Source organism: Homo sapiens, chromosome 19, assembly GCF_000001405.40.
Source record: "Homo sapiens chromosome 19, GRCh38.p14 Primary Assembly".
In the NCBI taxonomy this organism is placed as follows: Eukaryota; Metazoa; Chordata; class Mammalia; order Primates; family Hominidae; genus Homo; species Homo sapiens.
In genome coordinates this window covers 34280820-34299266 of record NC_000019.10, presented here as the reverse complement: position 1 = coordinate 34299266, position 18447 = coordinate 34280820, and the positions used below count along the sequence as shown (strand labels likewise).

The 18447-nt window shown below is 44.2% G+C and overlaps 1 protein-coding gene and 1 pseudogene across 1 annotated transcript in view; one reads left to right on the top strand and one right to left on the bottom strand.

The window, feature by feature from the left end:
- Positions 1–18447, bottom strand: part of GARRE1 (granule associated Rac and RHOG effector 1) — a 101013-nt gene that overhangs the window by 56300 nt on the left and 26266 nt on the right. The gene's annotated exons all lie outside the window — the stretch shown is intronic.
- On the top strand, positions 2483–3104 carry RPL29P33 (ribosomal protein L29 pseudogene 33; annotated as a pseudogene).

Below are 18447 nucleotides of genomic sequence, written 5' to 3'. Positions count from 1 at the left end.
TGGGCAAAGGGCAAGGGAAATCAAAAAGGTTGTTACGAAAAAAATATTCTTCTGAGGTAGGCCTTGATTGTAGGATAGGTTTGGACAAGTGCAAAAGGGACAGGTGGGACTCACAAGGTAAAGGACCACCACGGCAAAGGTCCCAAAGTAGGACGGGACAGTCGGATACCAAGCTGGGCTTAAGTGCAGGGTGCAGAAACAGAGCCTGGAGAAGGGAGTGGCTGGCAGGCGGTTTACAGACACGATTCTTCCAATCCTCACTCCGGTACCAGTTTCCCTCTGGGTGTGCAGAGCGGGAGCCTGGCAAGGTATACCAGTTTCACACCTTGGGTGGCTTCTTAGAACCCCTGACTCTGGATAGGTTCAAATAGCAGAATCTGGATATCGCTGGTTGTAGTTTCTGATACCTACAACAGCGGAATACTGTGACTCTTCTCATAAAGCTAAAATCAGGAATAACATTTGCTTGAAACCATCTGCTCTCCCAAACAAAAGTTCAAATACGTTTCACTGAAAGTCACATTTACCACATATTTAACTTATTATTATTATTTTTTTTGAGATGGAGTCTTGCTGTTGCCCAGGCTGGAGTGCAGTGGCGTGGTCTCAGCTCACCACAACCTCCGCCTCCCAGGTTCCAGTGATTCTCCTGCCTCAGCCTCCTGAGTAGCTGGGATTACAAGCGCCCACCATGCCTGGCTAATTTTTGTACTTTTAGTAGAGATGGGGTTTCACCATGCTGGCCAGGCTGGTCTCGAACTCCTGACCTCAGGTGATCCACCCGTCTCGGCCTCCCAAAGTGCTGGGATTACAGGCCTGAGCCACTGCGCCTGGCCAACTTTTTTTTTTTTTTGAGACAGAGTCTCACTGTGTTACCCAGGCTAGAGTGCAGTGGCATGACCTTGGCTTACTACAGCCTCGAACTCCTAGGCCCAAGCAATCCTCCTGCCTCAGTCTCCGGAGCAGCTGGGACTACAGATGTACCACCATGCTTGGTTAATTTTTGTATTTTTTGTAGAGACGAGGTTTCGCCATGTTGCCCAGGCTGGTCTCAAACTCCTGAGCTCAAGTGATCCTCCCGCCTCAGCCCAAAATGCTGAGATTACAGGCATGAGCCACCGTGCTTGACCACATATTCAACTGCAACCTATGTAATGGTGGTATATAGTTTCGTCTACTTATTGATAACCAGGTTTTCTATTTTCCTTTTTTGAATATATAATTAAATGTAACTCATACTTCGTCACTTATGGCCAATTACCATAATTCCTTTGTATTTCTATGATTGTGTTGGCAACACAGGAATTAGGTAGGTTACAAAGGCAAGAGATGAGAAGGACACTGTGGATACAAACACATAACATATAAAGTCAATAAAACAACCATTATTTATGGCTCTATGTTCAACAAAATTTGAGCTCTTTAAAAAAAATCTCATAAACTTTTCAAGAAACAAATATCAAATGGCTACTTGTAAAAAATGTGTTCCAAAATGTTTTCTTTTTTCAAATTCATGACAAATAAGGCAATCACATCTATCCCCACCCGAGTGCTCCACAATTTATAGATTCTGATATACAACAGAAGCACTCTACAGGAATGCTGAAGCGGGGCAGGCTGTTCCCGTGGAGACTCTGTGGCCTCTGAAGGAAAACCTTCACCTGAGTTGGCCACAGTGAGTGTCTTATGCAGCCCTGAGAAACACTCTATCTTTGTTCAGTGGTGCACCAGCTTCCTAGTTCCTCTACCGCGGCTGCCTCTGGCTCTAGGAGAGCCTGCCCCCATTCCTTTGACAGATCTGGAAGACCAAGTGAGACCTATATGCTTACCTAATTAAAAAACCACAAACATTAAACTCTTTTTCACTTTACATACTTCCAAACTTTCTCTAAATGAAACTTATAATGCTTAAAGTTATACTATTTCACCAAATTCATCTACAGATTCAACACAATTTTTATCAAAATATTTTTTTTTTTGAGACAGAGTTGTGCTCTGTCGCCCAGTCTGGAGTGCAGTGGCACAATCTCAGCTCACTGCAACCTCCACCTCCAGAGTTCAAGTGATTCTCCTGCCTCAGCCTCCCAAGTAGCTGGGATTACAGGTGCGCGTCACAGTGCCTGGCTAATTTTTTGTATTTTTAGTAGAGATGAGGTTTCGCCATATTGGCCAGGCCGGTCTCAAACTCCTGGCCTCAAGTGATCCACCCACCTCGGCCTCCCAAAGTGCTGGAATTACAGGCGTGAGCCACCATGCCGGCCTCAAAATTTCAATTACCTTTTCTACAGAAATGGGCAAGCTGACCCCAAAATTCATTTGGAAGCCAGGAGTGGTAGTGCATGCCTGCTGTCCTAGGTACTTAGAGGTGGCCAAGGTGAGAACATCACTTGAGCCCAGGAGTCTAAGAGCAGCCTGGGCAACACTGCAAGACTCTGTCCCCAAAAATAAAACAAAGCCCTAAAATCATATAAAAATGTGAGGGTTCCAGTTCTAGGTGCTTCGGGAGCTGCGGCTTAAGGTACAGACAGGGCCAAGTCCAAGAACCATACCACACACAACCAGTCCCGAAAATGGCACAGAAATGCTATCAAGAAACCCCGATCACAAAGATACAAATCTCTTAAGTGGATGGACCCCAGGTTCCTGAGGAACATGCACTTTGCCAAGAAGCACAAGAAGGGCCTCAAGAAGATGCAGGCCAACAATGCCAAGGCCATGAGTGCACGTGCCGAGGCTATCAAGGCCCTCGTAAAGCCCAAGGAGGTTAAGCCCAAGATCCCAAAGGGTGTCAGCCACAAGCTCGATCGACTTGCCTACATTGCCCACCCCAAGCTTGGGAAGTGTGCTCGTGCCCGCACTGCCAAGGGACTCAGGCTGTGCCGGCTAAAGGCCAAGGCCAAGGATCAAATCAGCGCCCAGACTGCAGCTCCAGCTTCAGTTCCAGCTCAAGCTCCCAAAGGTGCCCAGGCCCCTACAAAGGCTTCAGAGTAGATATCTCTGTCTACAAATGTGAGAACAGAAGGACTGCTGCGACCCCCTCGGGCTGCCGTCTGCATGGGGCGGGGATCCTCCTGTGCTATTTGTACAAACAAACTGACGCAAGAAAAAAAAAAAGCGAGGGATCCAGGATGACTAAAACAAATACTGAAAGAAAAAATGTTGTAAAAGTAATATTTCCTGATTTCAAAATCTACTATAAAGCTATAGTAACCAAAGCAGTGAAATACTGGCATAAGGAAAGATGTATAAATCAATGGAGTAGAATTAGAAGTCCAGAAATAAACCCATACATCTACAGTCAACTGATTTTAGACCAGGATGCCAAAAACATCCAGTGGGGAAAGAACAGTCTCTTCAATAAATGGTGATGGGACAACTAAATATCCACATGAAAAAATGAATCTGGACCCCGACCTCACATCATATACAAAAATTAGGCTGGGTGTAGTGGCTCAAGCCTGTAATCCCAGCACTTTGAAAGGCTGAGACAAGAGGATCGCTTGAGGCCAGGAATTTGAGACTAGTCTGAACAACAGAGCAAGACCCCATCTCTACAAAAAATTTAAAAAATTAGCTGGTCATGGTGGTGTGCACCTGTAGTCTCTGCTACTTGGGAGGCTGAGGGAGCAGTATCACTTGAGCCCAGGAGTTTTAAGCTGCAGTGGGCCATGATTACACCACTGCACTCTAGCCTGGGTGACAAAACAAGACCCTGTCTCGAAAACAAAACAAAACAAAACAAAACAAAACACCAAGAGATACAAGATTCATGAAAATAAAAGCCTAAAAAGGGGAGGGAAAGAGTATCATCAAAAATGGCAGAATAAGGACTTTCCCTGACCAAAATTCTCTACTACATAAAAACAATGAAAAATTGGCAAAATAATAGAATCACCTTTTTCAGAACTCTGGAAATAGGCTTTTAGCAAACTGGGGATAATTTATCAAAGATAAATAGCTGAATCCTGGTAAGAACAGTGAGTTTTGTAGCATTTTAACTTGACTGAGTCCCATTCCTAGCTCTCCAGCTCCATAATAGCCTTGAAAACTACCAGCTGCATCCACATTGAAGACCAGAAGACTGGCAGTTACCAGAGGAAGCAGAACTGGGCTACAGCTCCTTCAAAGTACCATTCCCAGGAAATTGGCATTATTTAACCTGTCTGGTGGTTCCCCAAAATACCCCATTTGCAAATATCTCTGTATTTTACCTGACTTAGAGCTCATCTGGAGAGGGAGGAGAATCTGATTTTCAGAGTTGCCACATTATGTCATTAAAAATGTCCAGTTGGCTGGCCACAGTGGCTCAAGCCTGTAATCCCAGTGCTTTGGGAGGCCGAGGTGGGCAAATCACCTGAGGTCAGGGGTTCAAGGCCAGCTTGGCCAACATGGTGAAACCCTGTCTCTACTAAGAATACAAAAAAAATTAGCCAGGTGTGTTGCTGCCCACCCATAGTCCCAGCTACTCAGGCAGTTGAGGCATGAGAATTGCTTGGATCACACCACTGTACTCCAGCCTGGGCGACAGAGAGAGACTCTGTCTGAAAATAATAATAAAATAAAATGTCCAGTTTTCAACAAAAAATTGGAAGATATGCAAAGAAACAAAAGAATATAGCCCATATAAAGGGAAAAAACAACAATAGAAAACTCTTCCCAAGGGAAGCCCAGATATTGGACTTAACAGACAAGAGTTTAAGTCAATTTAAGTATGTTCAAAGAACTAAAAGAAACCACATTTAAAAAGTGTGAGGAAAATATAAGAATAATGTCTCCCAAAACAGAATATTAATAAAAGATAGCAACGATTTTTTATTTTATTTCACTTTTTTTTTTTGCTTTTAGAGATGGGGTCTCTCTCTGTCACCCAAACTGGAGTATAGTCATACAATCATGGCTCATTGCAGCCTTGACCTTCTGGGCTCAAGCAATCCTCCACCTCAGCCTCCTCAGGGGCCAGGACCTCAGGCATGCACCACCATGCCCACCTAATTTTCTTTTTTTTTTTTTGTAGAGACAGGGTCTCACTATGTTGTCCACGCTGGCCTTGAACTCGTGACCCCAAGCCATCTTCCTACCTTGGCCTCTAAAAGTGTTGGGATTATAGGTGTGAGCCACCATGCTCAGCCTACTCAAGCCTATACATGTAAGGCACAGTCCACCTGATAATTTAGAAGCACATAATTTATAAAAATAAGTTTATGCAACCGGGCACAGTGGCTGACACCTGTAATCCCAGCACTTTGGGAGGCTGAGGCAGATGGATCACCTGAGAGGTCAGGAGTTAGAGACCAGCCTGGCCAACAGAAGGAAACCCCATTTCTACTAAAAAATACAAAAATAAGCCAGGTGTAGTGACGCGTGCCTATAATCCCAGCTACTCGGGAGGCTGAGGCAGGAGAATCACTCCAACCTGAGAGGCGGAGGTTGCAGTGAGCTGAGATCGCACCACTGCACTCCAGCCTGGGTGACAGAGTAAGGCTCCGTCTCAAAAAAAAAAAAAAAAAAAAAAAAAAGAAATATGTGTGTGTGTGTGTGTGTGTGTGTGTGTTTATATGTTTATGCTTCAAGAGGTTGGGCAAAGTGGCTCATACCTGTAATCCTAGCACTTTGGGAGGCCAAAGCAGGCAGATCACTTGAGCCCAGAAGTTCAACCAGCCTGGGCAACATGGCGAAACCCTGTCTCTACAAAAACATACAAAAATTAACCGGGCATGATGGTGTGCACCTGTGGTCCCAGCTACTCGGGAGGCTAAGGTGGGAGGATCACTTGAGCCTGAAAAGTTGAGGCTGCAGTGAACCATGATCACACCACTGCACTCCAGCCTGGAAAACAGAGAATCTGTCTTTAAAAAAAAAAAAATGCTCCAAGAGAACAATTACATCTGGTGAATCAAGAGAGAGAGGATCAAACAACTCATTTTTTATTTACTCCTTTTTTTCCCTTCAAGAGTGCTTCATTTTTGAAATGAAAAATTTTCCAAAAGCTAAACAAGTTGAAGAATTATGTTATTAGTCATTAACATTTACTTTAGTGCTAAGCTCACAGTGCAAATTTTTATAAATACGCCAATACACACTACAACTGTTTAGAGAGCAACTTAAGCTAATATGCATGTAAAAATCTCTTCACTGTTTAGTTTGCCATATGGCTGCTTTATCAAAACTGATTACTTCAGTAAGAAAGACAGTAACAAGTATTGATGAAGATGTGGAAACATCAAAACACTCATACATTGCATATAGGATTGTAAAATGGGCCGAATTCAGTAGCTCATGACTGTAATCCCAGCACTTTGGGAGGCAGAGGCGGGAGGATCATTTGAGGTCAGGGGTCAGAAACCAGCCTGGCAACATGGCAAAACCCTGTTTCTACTAAAAAATACAAAAATTAGCTGGGTGACTTGGGAGGCTGAGGCAGGAGAATGGCATGAACCCGGAAGGCGGAGCCTTGCAGTGAGCCGAGATCACGCCACTGCATTCCACCCTGGGTGATGGAGCGAGACTCAAAAAAAAAAAAAAAATTTAGCTGGGTGTGGTGGCACATGCCTGTAATCCCAACTATTCAGGAGGCTGAGGCAGGAGAATTGGTTGAACCAGGAGGCAGAGGTTGCAATGAGCCGAAATCGTGCCACTGTGCTCCAGCCTGGGTAACAGAGTGAGACGCTGTCTCAAAAAAAAAATAAAGTAAAATGGGATAGCTACTATGGAACAGTTTGGCAGGTCCTCAAAATGCTAAATATAGTGTTACCACATAACCCAGCAATTTCATTCCTATGTATATACCCAAGAGAAACGAAGAAATATGTCCAAACAAAAACCTGCACACAAATGTTCATAGCAGCATTATTCATAATAGTCAAAAGTAGTAACGACCCAATTGCTTATCAACTGACAAATGAATAAACAAATGTAGTACAGACATATAATGGATTATTTATTCAACTATAAAAAGGAATGAGGTTCTGATAAATGCTACAATATGGACGAACCTTAAAAACACTGTGCTAAGTGAAAGAAGCCAGACAAGGAGACTCCTATTGTATGAGTCTACTGATATGAAATGTCTAGAATAGGCAATCTACACAGATAAAAAAGTAGATCTGGGCGGGTGCGGTGGCTCACGCCTGTAATCCCAACACTTTGGGAGGCCAAGGGGGGCAGATCACTTGAGGCCAGGCATTTGAGACCAGCCTGGCCAACATGGTAAAACCCCGTCTCTACTAAAAATACAAAAAAAATTAGCCAGGTATGGTGGCACATGCCTGTAATCCCAGCTATTTAGGAGGCTGAGGCAGAAGAATCACTTGAACCTGGAGGTGAAGGGTGCAGTGAGCCAAGATGGTGCCACTGTACTCCAGCCTGGGCGAGAGAGTGAGACTCTGTCTCAAAAAAAAAAAAAAAAGTAGATTTATGGAATGAGGAGTCCTTGCTAATGTGTACAGCTTTTCTGGGGAGTGATGAAAATGTTCTGAAGTTAAATAGTGGTTGCTATGGCTTGAAATGTCATCCAAAGTTCTTGTATTGGAAACTTAATCCCCAGTGCAATAGTGTATAGACGTGAGACCTGTAAGAGATGATTAGGTCATGAAGGCTCTTGTCCTCCTGAATAGATTAATGGCATTATCACAGGAGTGGTTTAATTTATTGTGAGAGTGAATCTGTTACAGAAGTTCAACCATCTCTTGCTCTCTTGAGCTCTCCTGTCCTTCCACCTTTCGCCTTGGGGTGATGCAGTAAGAAGGCCCTCACCAGATGCCAATGCCATGACCTTGGACTTCCCAGAACCATGAGCCAAATAAACTAATTATGTGAATTATATCTCAATAAAACTAATTTTTAAAAAAGTATTACTTCATCTTTGTCACTTTCTTCACATAACTAACTTCTCATTTAATAGCAAAAACTAATAATAATAAATAAGTTTTCCAGGGATGACTTTAGTGCCAGACTTAGTCTCCTTTTTGTACATCAATCAGAAAAGTGTGCACGTGGTTCCTGACTTACAATGGCTTGACTTACAGTTTTGCTACTTTACAATGGTAAAAAAGCAATATGCGGCTGGGCGCGGTGGCTCACACCTGTGATCCCAGCACTTTGGGAGGCTGAGGTGGGTGGATCACCTGAGGTCAGGAGTTTGAGACCAGCCTGGCCAACATGGTGAAAGCTCGTATCTACTAAAAAATACAAAAATTAGTCGGGCATTGTGGCAGGCACCTGTAATCCCAGCTACCTGGGAGGCTAAGGCAGGATAATCGCTTGAACCTGGGAGGCGGAGGTTGCAGTGAACCAAGATCACACCACTACACTCCAGCCTGGGTGACAGAGTGAGACTCTGTCTCAAAAAAAAAAAAAAAAAAAAAAAAAAAAAAAAAAAAAAAAAAAAAAAAAAGCAATATGCTTTCAGTAGAAACTATACTTCAAGTTTTGAGTTTTGATCCAAATTTCTTTATAACTTTATCACAAAATAGACTTTGTAGCTGGGCATGGTGGCTTACAACAGTAATCTCAACGCTTTGGGAGGCCAAGCTGGAAAGATCATTTGAGGCCAGGAGTTCAAGACCAGCCCGGGCAACACAGAAAGACCCCACCTCTACAAAAAAATTTTTCAAATTAGCCAGGTCACCTATAGTCCCAGCTATTTCAGAGACTGAGGTGGGAGCATCATTTGAACCCAGGAGTTTGAGGTTACAGTGATCTGTAATTGTGCCCTTGTACTCCAGCCTGGGTAACAGAGTAAAACCCTGTCTCTAAGAGAGAGAGAGAGAAAAAAAGGCTTTGTGGTAGATGATTTTGCCAAACTGCAGGCTAAAGTGAAGTCCTCTTAGCACATTTCAGGTAGGCAAGGCTAAGCTATGACGTTTGGTACATTAGGAATATTAAATGCATTTTCTTTTCTTCTTTTTTTTTTGAGACAGGGTCTGGCTCTGTCACCCAGGCTGGAGTACAGTGGTGCAATCTTGGTTCACTGCAAGCTCCGCCTCCTGGGCTCAAGCCATCCTCCCACCTCAGCCTCCTGAGTAGCTGGGGCTACAGGCATACAGCACCACGCCCAGTTAATTTTTGTATTTTTTATAGAGCTGGGTTTCACCATGTTCCCCAGGCTGGTCTTGAGCTCCTGAGCTCAAGCGATCCTCCTGCCTCAGCCTCCCAAAGTGCTGGAATTACAGGCATCAGCCACTGCGCCCGGTCCTTACATTTTCAACTTAGGATATTTTCAACTTATGAGAGGTTTATCAGGACATAAACTCCCATCATAAGTCAAGGAACATCTGCATTTGAGTGCTGCCATCCAGCATCTGTGAATGTTAAGTGCCAAAAAGGCCCTTCATGATCATCTAACTTAAACCCTTCAATTTATATATTAAAAAGGGGATTCAGGACATTAAAGGTCTTGCACTAGACCACATGTAGTCTCAGAATCAAACTCAGGTATCTTGACTCTCAGAACTTCAAACTGGCAGACAGATCAAGCTATGCTGCAGTAACAAATCCTGAAATAAATGGCTTAACCTAATATTTACTTTTTTTTATTTTTTTTTTTGAGACAGAGTCTAGCTCTGTCACCAGGCTGGAGTGCAGTGGCATGATCTTGGCGCACTGCAACCTCTGCCTCCTGGGTTCAAGCGATTCTCCTGCCTCAGCCTCCTGAGTAGCTGGGATAACAGACACGCGCCACCACACCCAGCTAATTTTTGTATATTTAGTGGAGACGGGATTTCACCATGTTGGCCAGATGGTCTCGATCTTCTGACCTTGTGATCCGCCCACCTCGGCCTCCCAAAGTGCTGGGATTACAGGCATGAGCCACCATGCCTGGCCTTGGAGATGGAATCTTGCTCTGTCACTCAGGCTGGAGTGCAGAGGTGAGATCCTGGCTCACTGCAACCTACCTGGTCTTGAGCTCCTGAGCTCAAGTGATTCTCTTGCCTCAGCCTCCACAGTAGCTGGAACTACAGGCATGCATCACCAAGCCCAGCTAATTTTTGTATTTTTGGTAGAGATAGGGTTTCACCATGTTGCGCAGGCTGGTCTCAAACTCCTGACCTCAACTGATTCCTGCCTCAGCCTCCCAAAGTGCTGGGATTATAGGCGTGAGCCGCCATGCCCAACCAGATTTACTTTTTGTTTTTGAGACGGAGTCTTGCTCTGTTGCCCAGGCTGGAGTGCAGTGGTGCAATCTTGGCTCACTGCAACCTTCACCTCCTGGGTTCAAGCAATTCTCCTACCTCAGCCTCCTGAGTAGCTGGGAGATCACAGGCACACACCACCATGCCCAGCCAATTTTTGTATTTTTGGTAGAAACAGGGTTTCACCATGTTGGCTAGGCTGGTCTCGAACTCCTGGCCTCAACTGATCCGACTGCCTCGGCCTCCCAAAGTGCTGGGATTACAGGCATGAGCCAAGGCGCCCAGCCCAGATTACTTCTTGTTCACAAAAATTCACTGTGGGTCTAGCAGCCCTTCTTCAGCTTACAGGGACACTACTAGAACTTATGTCTCCCATGGTTGCCCTAGCACAGAAAAAGAAAGTCAAAACTCATACCCACTCTTTAATACTTCCCACTGAAAGTGACACACATCACCTCCCTTCAAAGCCCTTTGGCTTTGAGGTGGTTGCATGTCAAAGGCCACCATCAAAGGCCAGAGGTGGTTGCGTGGTACCAATTCCACTATATGAGAGGTAGAGAAATGTAGGGGAAAATACAGACTAGCGGGCAAGCCCTACAGTCGGCCACAGCTCTCCACACAGCCCAGCTGTGTGTTGTATGGTTCTGCCCAGACGAAAGCAATTCTGATTGCACACAGGGGAGGCTGTTTTGTAATGGGGAGGCCCCACAGTTGTTCTCCAGAGGTTGCTCCAGGACATCATTCTTTCTTGTATGTATGGAAACTGAAGGGGTGGAAGATGGTGGGGGAAGAGTCACAGTTTCCTTTGAGAAATTGAGGAAAGGAAACTTTAGTCAAACACACTTCCCAAACACCACAGTTTCCATTCAGTTTTGGAACTGCAGCCTCAGGTGAAGAACTAACTGCTTTCTACACTCCCCACGCTTCCTTTTCTTTCAGAGGAAGCTACATACAGCTGGAAGCACCAGATGACTTTTTGTAAACTGAGCTTCCTGCACTTCCTGTACCTAGTGTTGGTCCAACAGGTGACCAAGCAGGGGAGGCCTAAGGCTTGGACTAAAGAATTTAGTGGAACCACAGAGAAAAACACGAGATCCTTTGCAATCATACTACCCACTATGCACCTATGTTGTCAGGGTGTGGTCATCAGACCACAGCATCAGAACTGAATTGCCCACAACTAAGGGTGCACCTGTGTTACGGACTGAATGTTTCCCCAAAAATGCATATGTTGAAATCTAATTCCCATTGTGATGGTATCTGGAGGTAGGGCCTTTGGAAGGTATTTAGGTCATGAGGGTGCAGCCATCATAAATGAGATTAGTGCCCTTATAAAAAGAGGCCAGTTCACTCTCTTTCTGCCATATGAGAACATGGTAAGTCAGCAGTCTGCATCCCGAAAGAGGGTTCTCATGAGAACCTGACAGTGCTGGCACCCTGATCTTAAACCTCCAGACTTTGGAACTGTGAGAAATAAGCTTCTGTTGTTTATAAGCTACCCAGTCTATAGTACTTTGTCAAAGCAGCCTGAACTAAGACAACCTCTGTGACAGTAAATCTGTCTGTAGGCAGTAAAAGTCTATGTGGGGTTGTCATAACACTCACTGAGCATGTTAAAGGATGAAAACATTTTTAGCAATTTTTTTCACCACCTACCAACCTTAGTAAAACTAGGATGAGGGCTGGACACAGTGGTGCCCATCTGCAGTCCCAGCACTTTGGGAGGCCAAAGCAGGAGGGTCACTTGAGTCCAGGACTTCGAGTCCAGTCTGGGCAAAATAGTGAGATCTTGTCTCTAAACAAACAACAACAAAAAAACCTAGTAGCAGCCAGTGAAAACCAACAATGGCTTTTAAGGACTTCCTTCTCTGATACTAGAATCAGGATAGCACCCTTCCTGGAATGACTATTTAAATACTGATTACTGGGATGCAATCCAAATCTAACGAATCAATCTTTGGGAGAGAAGCAGAGAATACACTTTTTTTTTTTTTTTTTTTGAGACAGTCTTGCTCTGTCTCCCAGGCTGGAGTGCAGTGGCGCAATCTCGGCTCACTGCAAGCTCCGCCCCCTGGGTTCACGCCATTCTCCTGCCTCAGCCTCCTGAGTAGCTGGGACTACAGGCGCCCGCCACCATGCCCGACTAATTTTTTGGAGAATACACTTTTTTAACAAGTTCCCCAGATGATTCTGATGTATGCTATAATTTGAGAGCCAAACTGGGGGTCCACTGAAAATCTGCTGACAGCCACAAGAATGAGGACGCCTGATGATGCCGACTGTAGTGCAACTCAGGGATTCTCACCAATATTCCTGTGTATTCAAGAATACACAAAGGCCGGACATGGTGGCTCACGCCTGTAATCCCAGCACTTTGGGAGGCCGAGGCGGGCGGATCACGAGGTCAGGAGATCGAGACCATCCTGGCTAACACGATGAAACCCCATCCCTACTAAAAATACAGAACATTAGCCCGGCGTGGTAGCGGGCGCCTGTAGTCCCAGCTACTGGGAAGGCTGAGGCAGGAGAATGGCGTGATCCCGGTGCCACTGCACTCCAGCCTGGGCGACAGAGCCAGACTCCGTCTCAAAAAAAAAAAAAAAGAATACAGAAAGGTTGGCTGGGCACGGTGGCTCACACCTGTAATCCCAGCACTTTGGGAGGCCAAAGTGGACAGATCAAGAGGTCAGGAGATCGAGACCATCCTGGCTAACACGGTGAAACCCTGTCTCTACTAAAAATACAAAAAATTAGCCAGGTGTGGTGGGATGCACCTGTAGTCCCAGCTACTCGGGAGACTGAGGCAGGAGAATGGCATGAACCCGGGAGGCAGAGCTTGCAGTGAGCCGAAATCATGCCACTGCACTCCAGCCTGGGCAACAGAGCGAGACTCCGTCTCAAAAAATAATAATAATACAGAAAGGCACCTCCCTTCCAAAGTGATAAATAAGTTTTTTTGTTTTGTTTTGTTTGTTTGTTTGTTTTGAAACAGGGTTTCACCAGTCTCTGGCTGTTAAGCTCAAGCAATCCACCTGTCTCGGCTTTCCAGAGTGCTGGGATTACAGGCGTGTGCCACTGTGCCTGGCCACAACTCTTTTTCTGAGAACCAAGGGGCTGGTTACACAGATCAATGAAAAGTTCTGTTTGTAACATAATTGCTTCTAACAAGACTGCTCAAGTATCACAGTCACGCCTGGGGTTCCTACCCAAGCAGAGAGAAAAAACATTCAAAACATGTAAACTAGTTTTCGCTAATTCTTAACAGATCTGGTGTTCCTGTGCAGATCTTTGTTGTAATCAAAACTAGATAGTGTTGAATTTTTTTAAAATGTCATGGAACTGGCTGGTCACAGTGGCTCACGCCTATAATCCCAGCACTTTGGGAGGCCGAGGCAGCTGGATCACGAGGTCAAGAGATCGAGACCATCCTAGCTAACACGATGAAACAAACAAAAAAAAAAGGTCATGGAACTGAAATACATTCAAGATCTATCATTTTCTTTTTTCTTTTTTTGAGATGAAGTCTCACTCTGTTGCCCAGGCTGGAGTGCAGTGGTGCGATCTCGGCTCACTGCAACCTCTACCTCCTGGGTTCAGGCAATTCTCATGCCTCAGCCTCCTGAGTAGCTGGCATTACAGGTGCCCGATACCACGCCTGATTAATTTTTGTATTCTTAGTAGAGACAGGGTGTCACCACGTTGGCCAGGCTGGTCTCAAACTCCTGACCTCAAAGTGATCCGCCTGCCTCAGCCTCCCAAAGTGTTGGGATTACAGCCATGAGCCATCATGCCTGCCCGAGTTCTATCATTTTCAAATGACATTTTGCCAAGAAACAATGTACAGAGAAGGTGGTAATACCTACCTAAGCATTTGTCTTCATGGCAGTGATCATAATATCCCCTGACAAAATACTGTTGGAAGTTAGGTGATGGGTACATGAGGTGCATCATATCACTTGCTCCAATGTTGTATATGATTGAACATTTCTGAAACAAAATGTTGAAAATGCACACACAGACACACACACACACACGAACACCTGGATTTTATTATTTTATTTCTGTTTTTATTTATTTATTGAGACTGGGTCTGGCTCTGTCACCCAGGCTGGAGTGCAGTGGCGTGATCTCGGCTCACTGTAACCTCTGCCTCCTGGGCTCAGATGATCCTCCTACTGCAGCCTCCCCAGTAGCTGGGACTACAGGCATATGCCACCGTGCCCAGCTAATTATTATTATTATCATTATTTTAATAAAATTCTTCTTAATGCTGTCTAAATGTTTTTCACATGCTTCTCCACCCTCATATTTATCTGCCTGTCAGGCTAAAATATGTTCAAACCATTTAAGGACATTTCTTTTCCGTATTTTCTTAAAAAGAATTTTCACTGGGAAAACATTCACCATTTATGAATCCACTATTCATGCTGCATGGAAATAAATACGCATTGTGAAAGACCTCAGAAGTTAGTGTAGCCAAGACTTGTGAGATTTGTCATGTACTCTTAAGTTTTAATGCTACTTAAAAAATCAAATACATAGCAGAAAAGAACATTTTAAGTAACATCTTTTCAACATAATTTGCAAAAGTTCTCCACAGATTAAAACTGAATTCAGCCATAATTATATCATTTAAAATATTCATTTCTACAATTAGAGTCATCAGCGATTTCTATTTCAGGCAATAAAGGACATGCTTGAAACTACACGAAGGCCAGACATGGTGGCTCATGCCTGTAATCCCAGTACTTTGGGAGGCTGAGACGGGCAGATCACTTGAGGCCAGGAGTTTGAGACCAGTCTGGCCAACACAGTGAAACCCTGTCTCTACTAAAAATACAAAAATTAGCCGAGCGTGGTAGCACATGCCGGTAATTTCAGCTACTTGGGAGGCTGAGGCAGGAGAATCGCTTGGGAGGTGGAGGTTGCAGTAAGCCGAGATTGCACCACCGCACTCTAGCCTGGGTGACTGAGTGAGACTGTCTCAAAAAAAAAAAAAAAAAAAAAAAGAAAGCCGGGCCTGTAATCCCAGCACTTCCAGCACTTTGGGAGGCTGAGGCGGGCGGATCACGAGGTCAGGAGATCCAGACCATCCTGGCTAACACGGTGAAACCCCGTCTCTACTAAAATACAAAAAGTTAGCCAGGTATGGTGGCGGGCGCCTGTAGTCCCAGCTACTTGGGAGGCTGAGGCAGGAGAATGGCATGAACCTGGGAGGCGGAGCTTGCAGTGAGCCGAGATCATGCCACTGCACTCCAGCCTGGGTGACAGAGTGAGACTCCGTCTCAAAAAAAAAAAAAAAAAAAGAAAGAAAGAAAGAAACTAGATGAAGACTCAGTATTAGAGGATTTTCTTATACCTATGGTTGACAAGACATGAAAAGTGGTCAGCCATCCTAAGAAAATCTCTTGAAGCACTTCCCTTTAGAAAGATAAGACGATTGAAGTGAAGAAGAGAATGGCCCTGGGCGTCTGACTAATAGGGTGAGATCTTGGCTGTCAGGATCAGCTTGACCTTGAGCAAGTTCCTTAACCTCTCTCTGCCTGTCTCATCATCTATAAAATAAGGATAATAGTAACCACTGTTATTGAGTTAAATGGGTTTATACATATAAAGCACTTAGAATGATGTCTGGCACATATTAAGCACTAAATGTTTGATGATGATGATATTATCATTCCCACAAAGCAAGCAAAGGAAGCAGGCCTTGTTATTTCTGCTTCTCTGGAAAAAAGTCACTGACAAACAGGAAAGGTCTTGAAAAGTTACCCAATCCTTGAACCAAATAGAAATCTACCAATCGCAGGGCAGGAAGCATCACACACTTCATTGATAACTAACTTCTACTTACATGGACTATGCAGCTATAAAGAGAAATTTAGTCCCTGAATTAATTAATTAAGTTTTCCCATCTGACTAAAGATTGATAGCTATGATTTGTGAATACAGAGAATAATTTTAGATCCACTTCAGTCCTTAAACCAACAGAGAAAAGAGAGTGGCAAGCAGTCCTACTGTCAGAAATGGGATGACAAAAGGAGTTTCATTTCAAAACGACAGGCTAAACAGGCAAGTGCACTTACCTCTCCATCCTCCCCAAATCCCAGTGACATAACAATAAAGACATTCACAAGGGAATCTCAGCAAAACAGTAATGAGAAGGTCTGAGGGCCACAGTCTATTTAACTGCAGGCCATCTTCTAGAGGATGGAGAGAAAGCAGAGGAAACTATATTACAAGACAGACCAGAGCAAAGCTGGCCACTTTTTACAACATGCAGGGCCAAAAGAGAACAGAGAGGCAGAGCCCTTTTTCCTGGAGGAGCTGGATAAATGCCCAGCTTTGAATCAGCAGGTAGAGAAATCAGGAGTGGGAAACCAGTTAATCAACCTGATTTCATCTGTACTTCCCATTCCTCAATCAGCCAACTCTCACTAAGGCAAGAGGACTATTGAAAAACAGAGGGACCTCCTGCAAATTACCTATATGAACAACCCAGTTCTTCATTGATAAGGATCACCAGACAGTGAAGGAAAACCAAAAGGACAAAAAAGGACAACTAAGATGAAAAGGTGATCAGACCTCAGAAGAAATACATATTTTAGGTCCCAGAAAAAACACCTGAAAAGAAATTCTGACTGGTATTCCTCAGACAGTGTTGGAAAGATAGTGCATCCTTAAAAGCAGGGCTGGGCACGGTGGCTCACGCCTGTAATCCGAGCACTTTGGGAGGCCAAGGCAGGCAGATCACAAGGTCAGGAGTTCAAGACCAGCCTGGCCAGCATGGTGAAACCCCGTCTCTACTAAAAATACAAAAATTAGCCTGGTGTGGTGGCGTGCGCCTGTAATCCCAGCTACTCAGGAGGCCAAGGCAGGAGAATTGCTTGAACCCAGGAGGCGGAGGTTGCAGTGAGCCGAGATCGCACTATTGCATTCCAGCTCTAGGCAACAGAGCAAGACTCCATCTCGGGGGGAGAAAAAAAAACCAAAAGCAAACAAATCATAAAGGAAGTAGAAATCAACAATGAATTCTTGGAAATAAGAAATATGATTGCCAAGATAAAAACGAGAAGAAATAAAATGGGAATGAAGTAAGGTATAGGGAATACAGAAACACACAGACACACACGCTTGTAGCTTTTAAAATAAGCCATGGGAGAATAAACCAAAAACCAACAAAGATGTTTACCTACAACGTATAGAGAAGAACAAAGACAAGGAGGAAAGCCAGACTTCTTTCAATCTATCTTACTTATGGTTTTATCTTTAGAACTACGTAAATATATAAGCAAAAAGCAAATATAAAAAAGAAAAATATCCCTAAAAATGAAACAAAAGACAAATGAATCTATATTATTTACCAAATTAGTGGCACAGCCACACAGAGAAGAATTATTTCAAGTTTAAAATTGTGTTTCGGCCAGGTGTAGTGCTTCACATCTGTAATCCCATCACTTTGGGAGGCCAAAGCAGGAGGAATGCTTTAGAGTTCAAGACCAGCCTGGGCAACACAGTGAGACCCCATCTCTATAACACACAAACAAAATTGGCCAGGTGCAGTGGCTCATGACTGTAATCCTAGCACTTTGGGAGGCAGAGGCAGGCAGATCACAAGGTCAGGGGTTTGAGACCAGCCTGGCCAATATGGTGAAACCACGTCTCTACTAAAAATACAAAAATTAGCCAGGCATAGTGGCAGGCGTCTGTAGTCCCAGCTACCAGGGAGGCTGAGGCAGGAAAATCACTTGAACCCGGGAGGCAGAGGTTGCAGTGAGCTGAGATCACACCACTGCACTCCAGCCTGGGTGACAGAGTGAGACTCCATCTCAAAACAAACAAACAAACAAAATTATCCAGACATGGTAGTGCATCCCTGTAGTCCCAGCTACTGATGAGGCTGAGGTGGAAGGATCACTTGAGCCCAGGTGGTGGAGGCTGCAGTGAGCCAACATGGCGCCACTATACTCCAGCCTGGGCGACAGAGTGAGGTGGTCTCCATCAATCGGTCAATCAATAAAATCGTGTTTTGACTGGACCCCTCTGGTGTTACTGTCAACAAATGAGAAAAGACAAATATAAAATCAAAGATATAAAAATCCTTTAATCCTTCATTTGAATTGGAAGTAAATCAGTCTGAAATCATGGTGTATCTTTTTCTTTCCAAAAAGTATGTATTTCCTAGTTCTACTAAAAAAAAAAAAAAACCTACTGGAATTTACATCTTAATTGTAATGAATGCCCTTAATACCATTTCCCACCAAAAAGAATCAGAACTAGTTAAAGAAATGGCTGATTCTGGATCTGGGATCAGAAATTT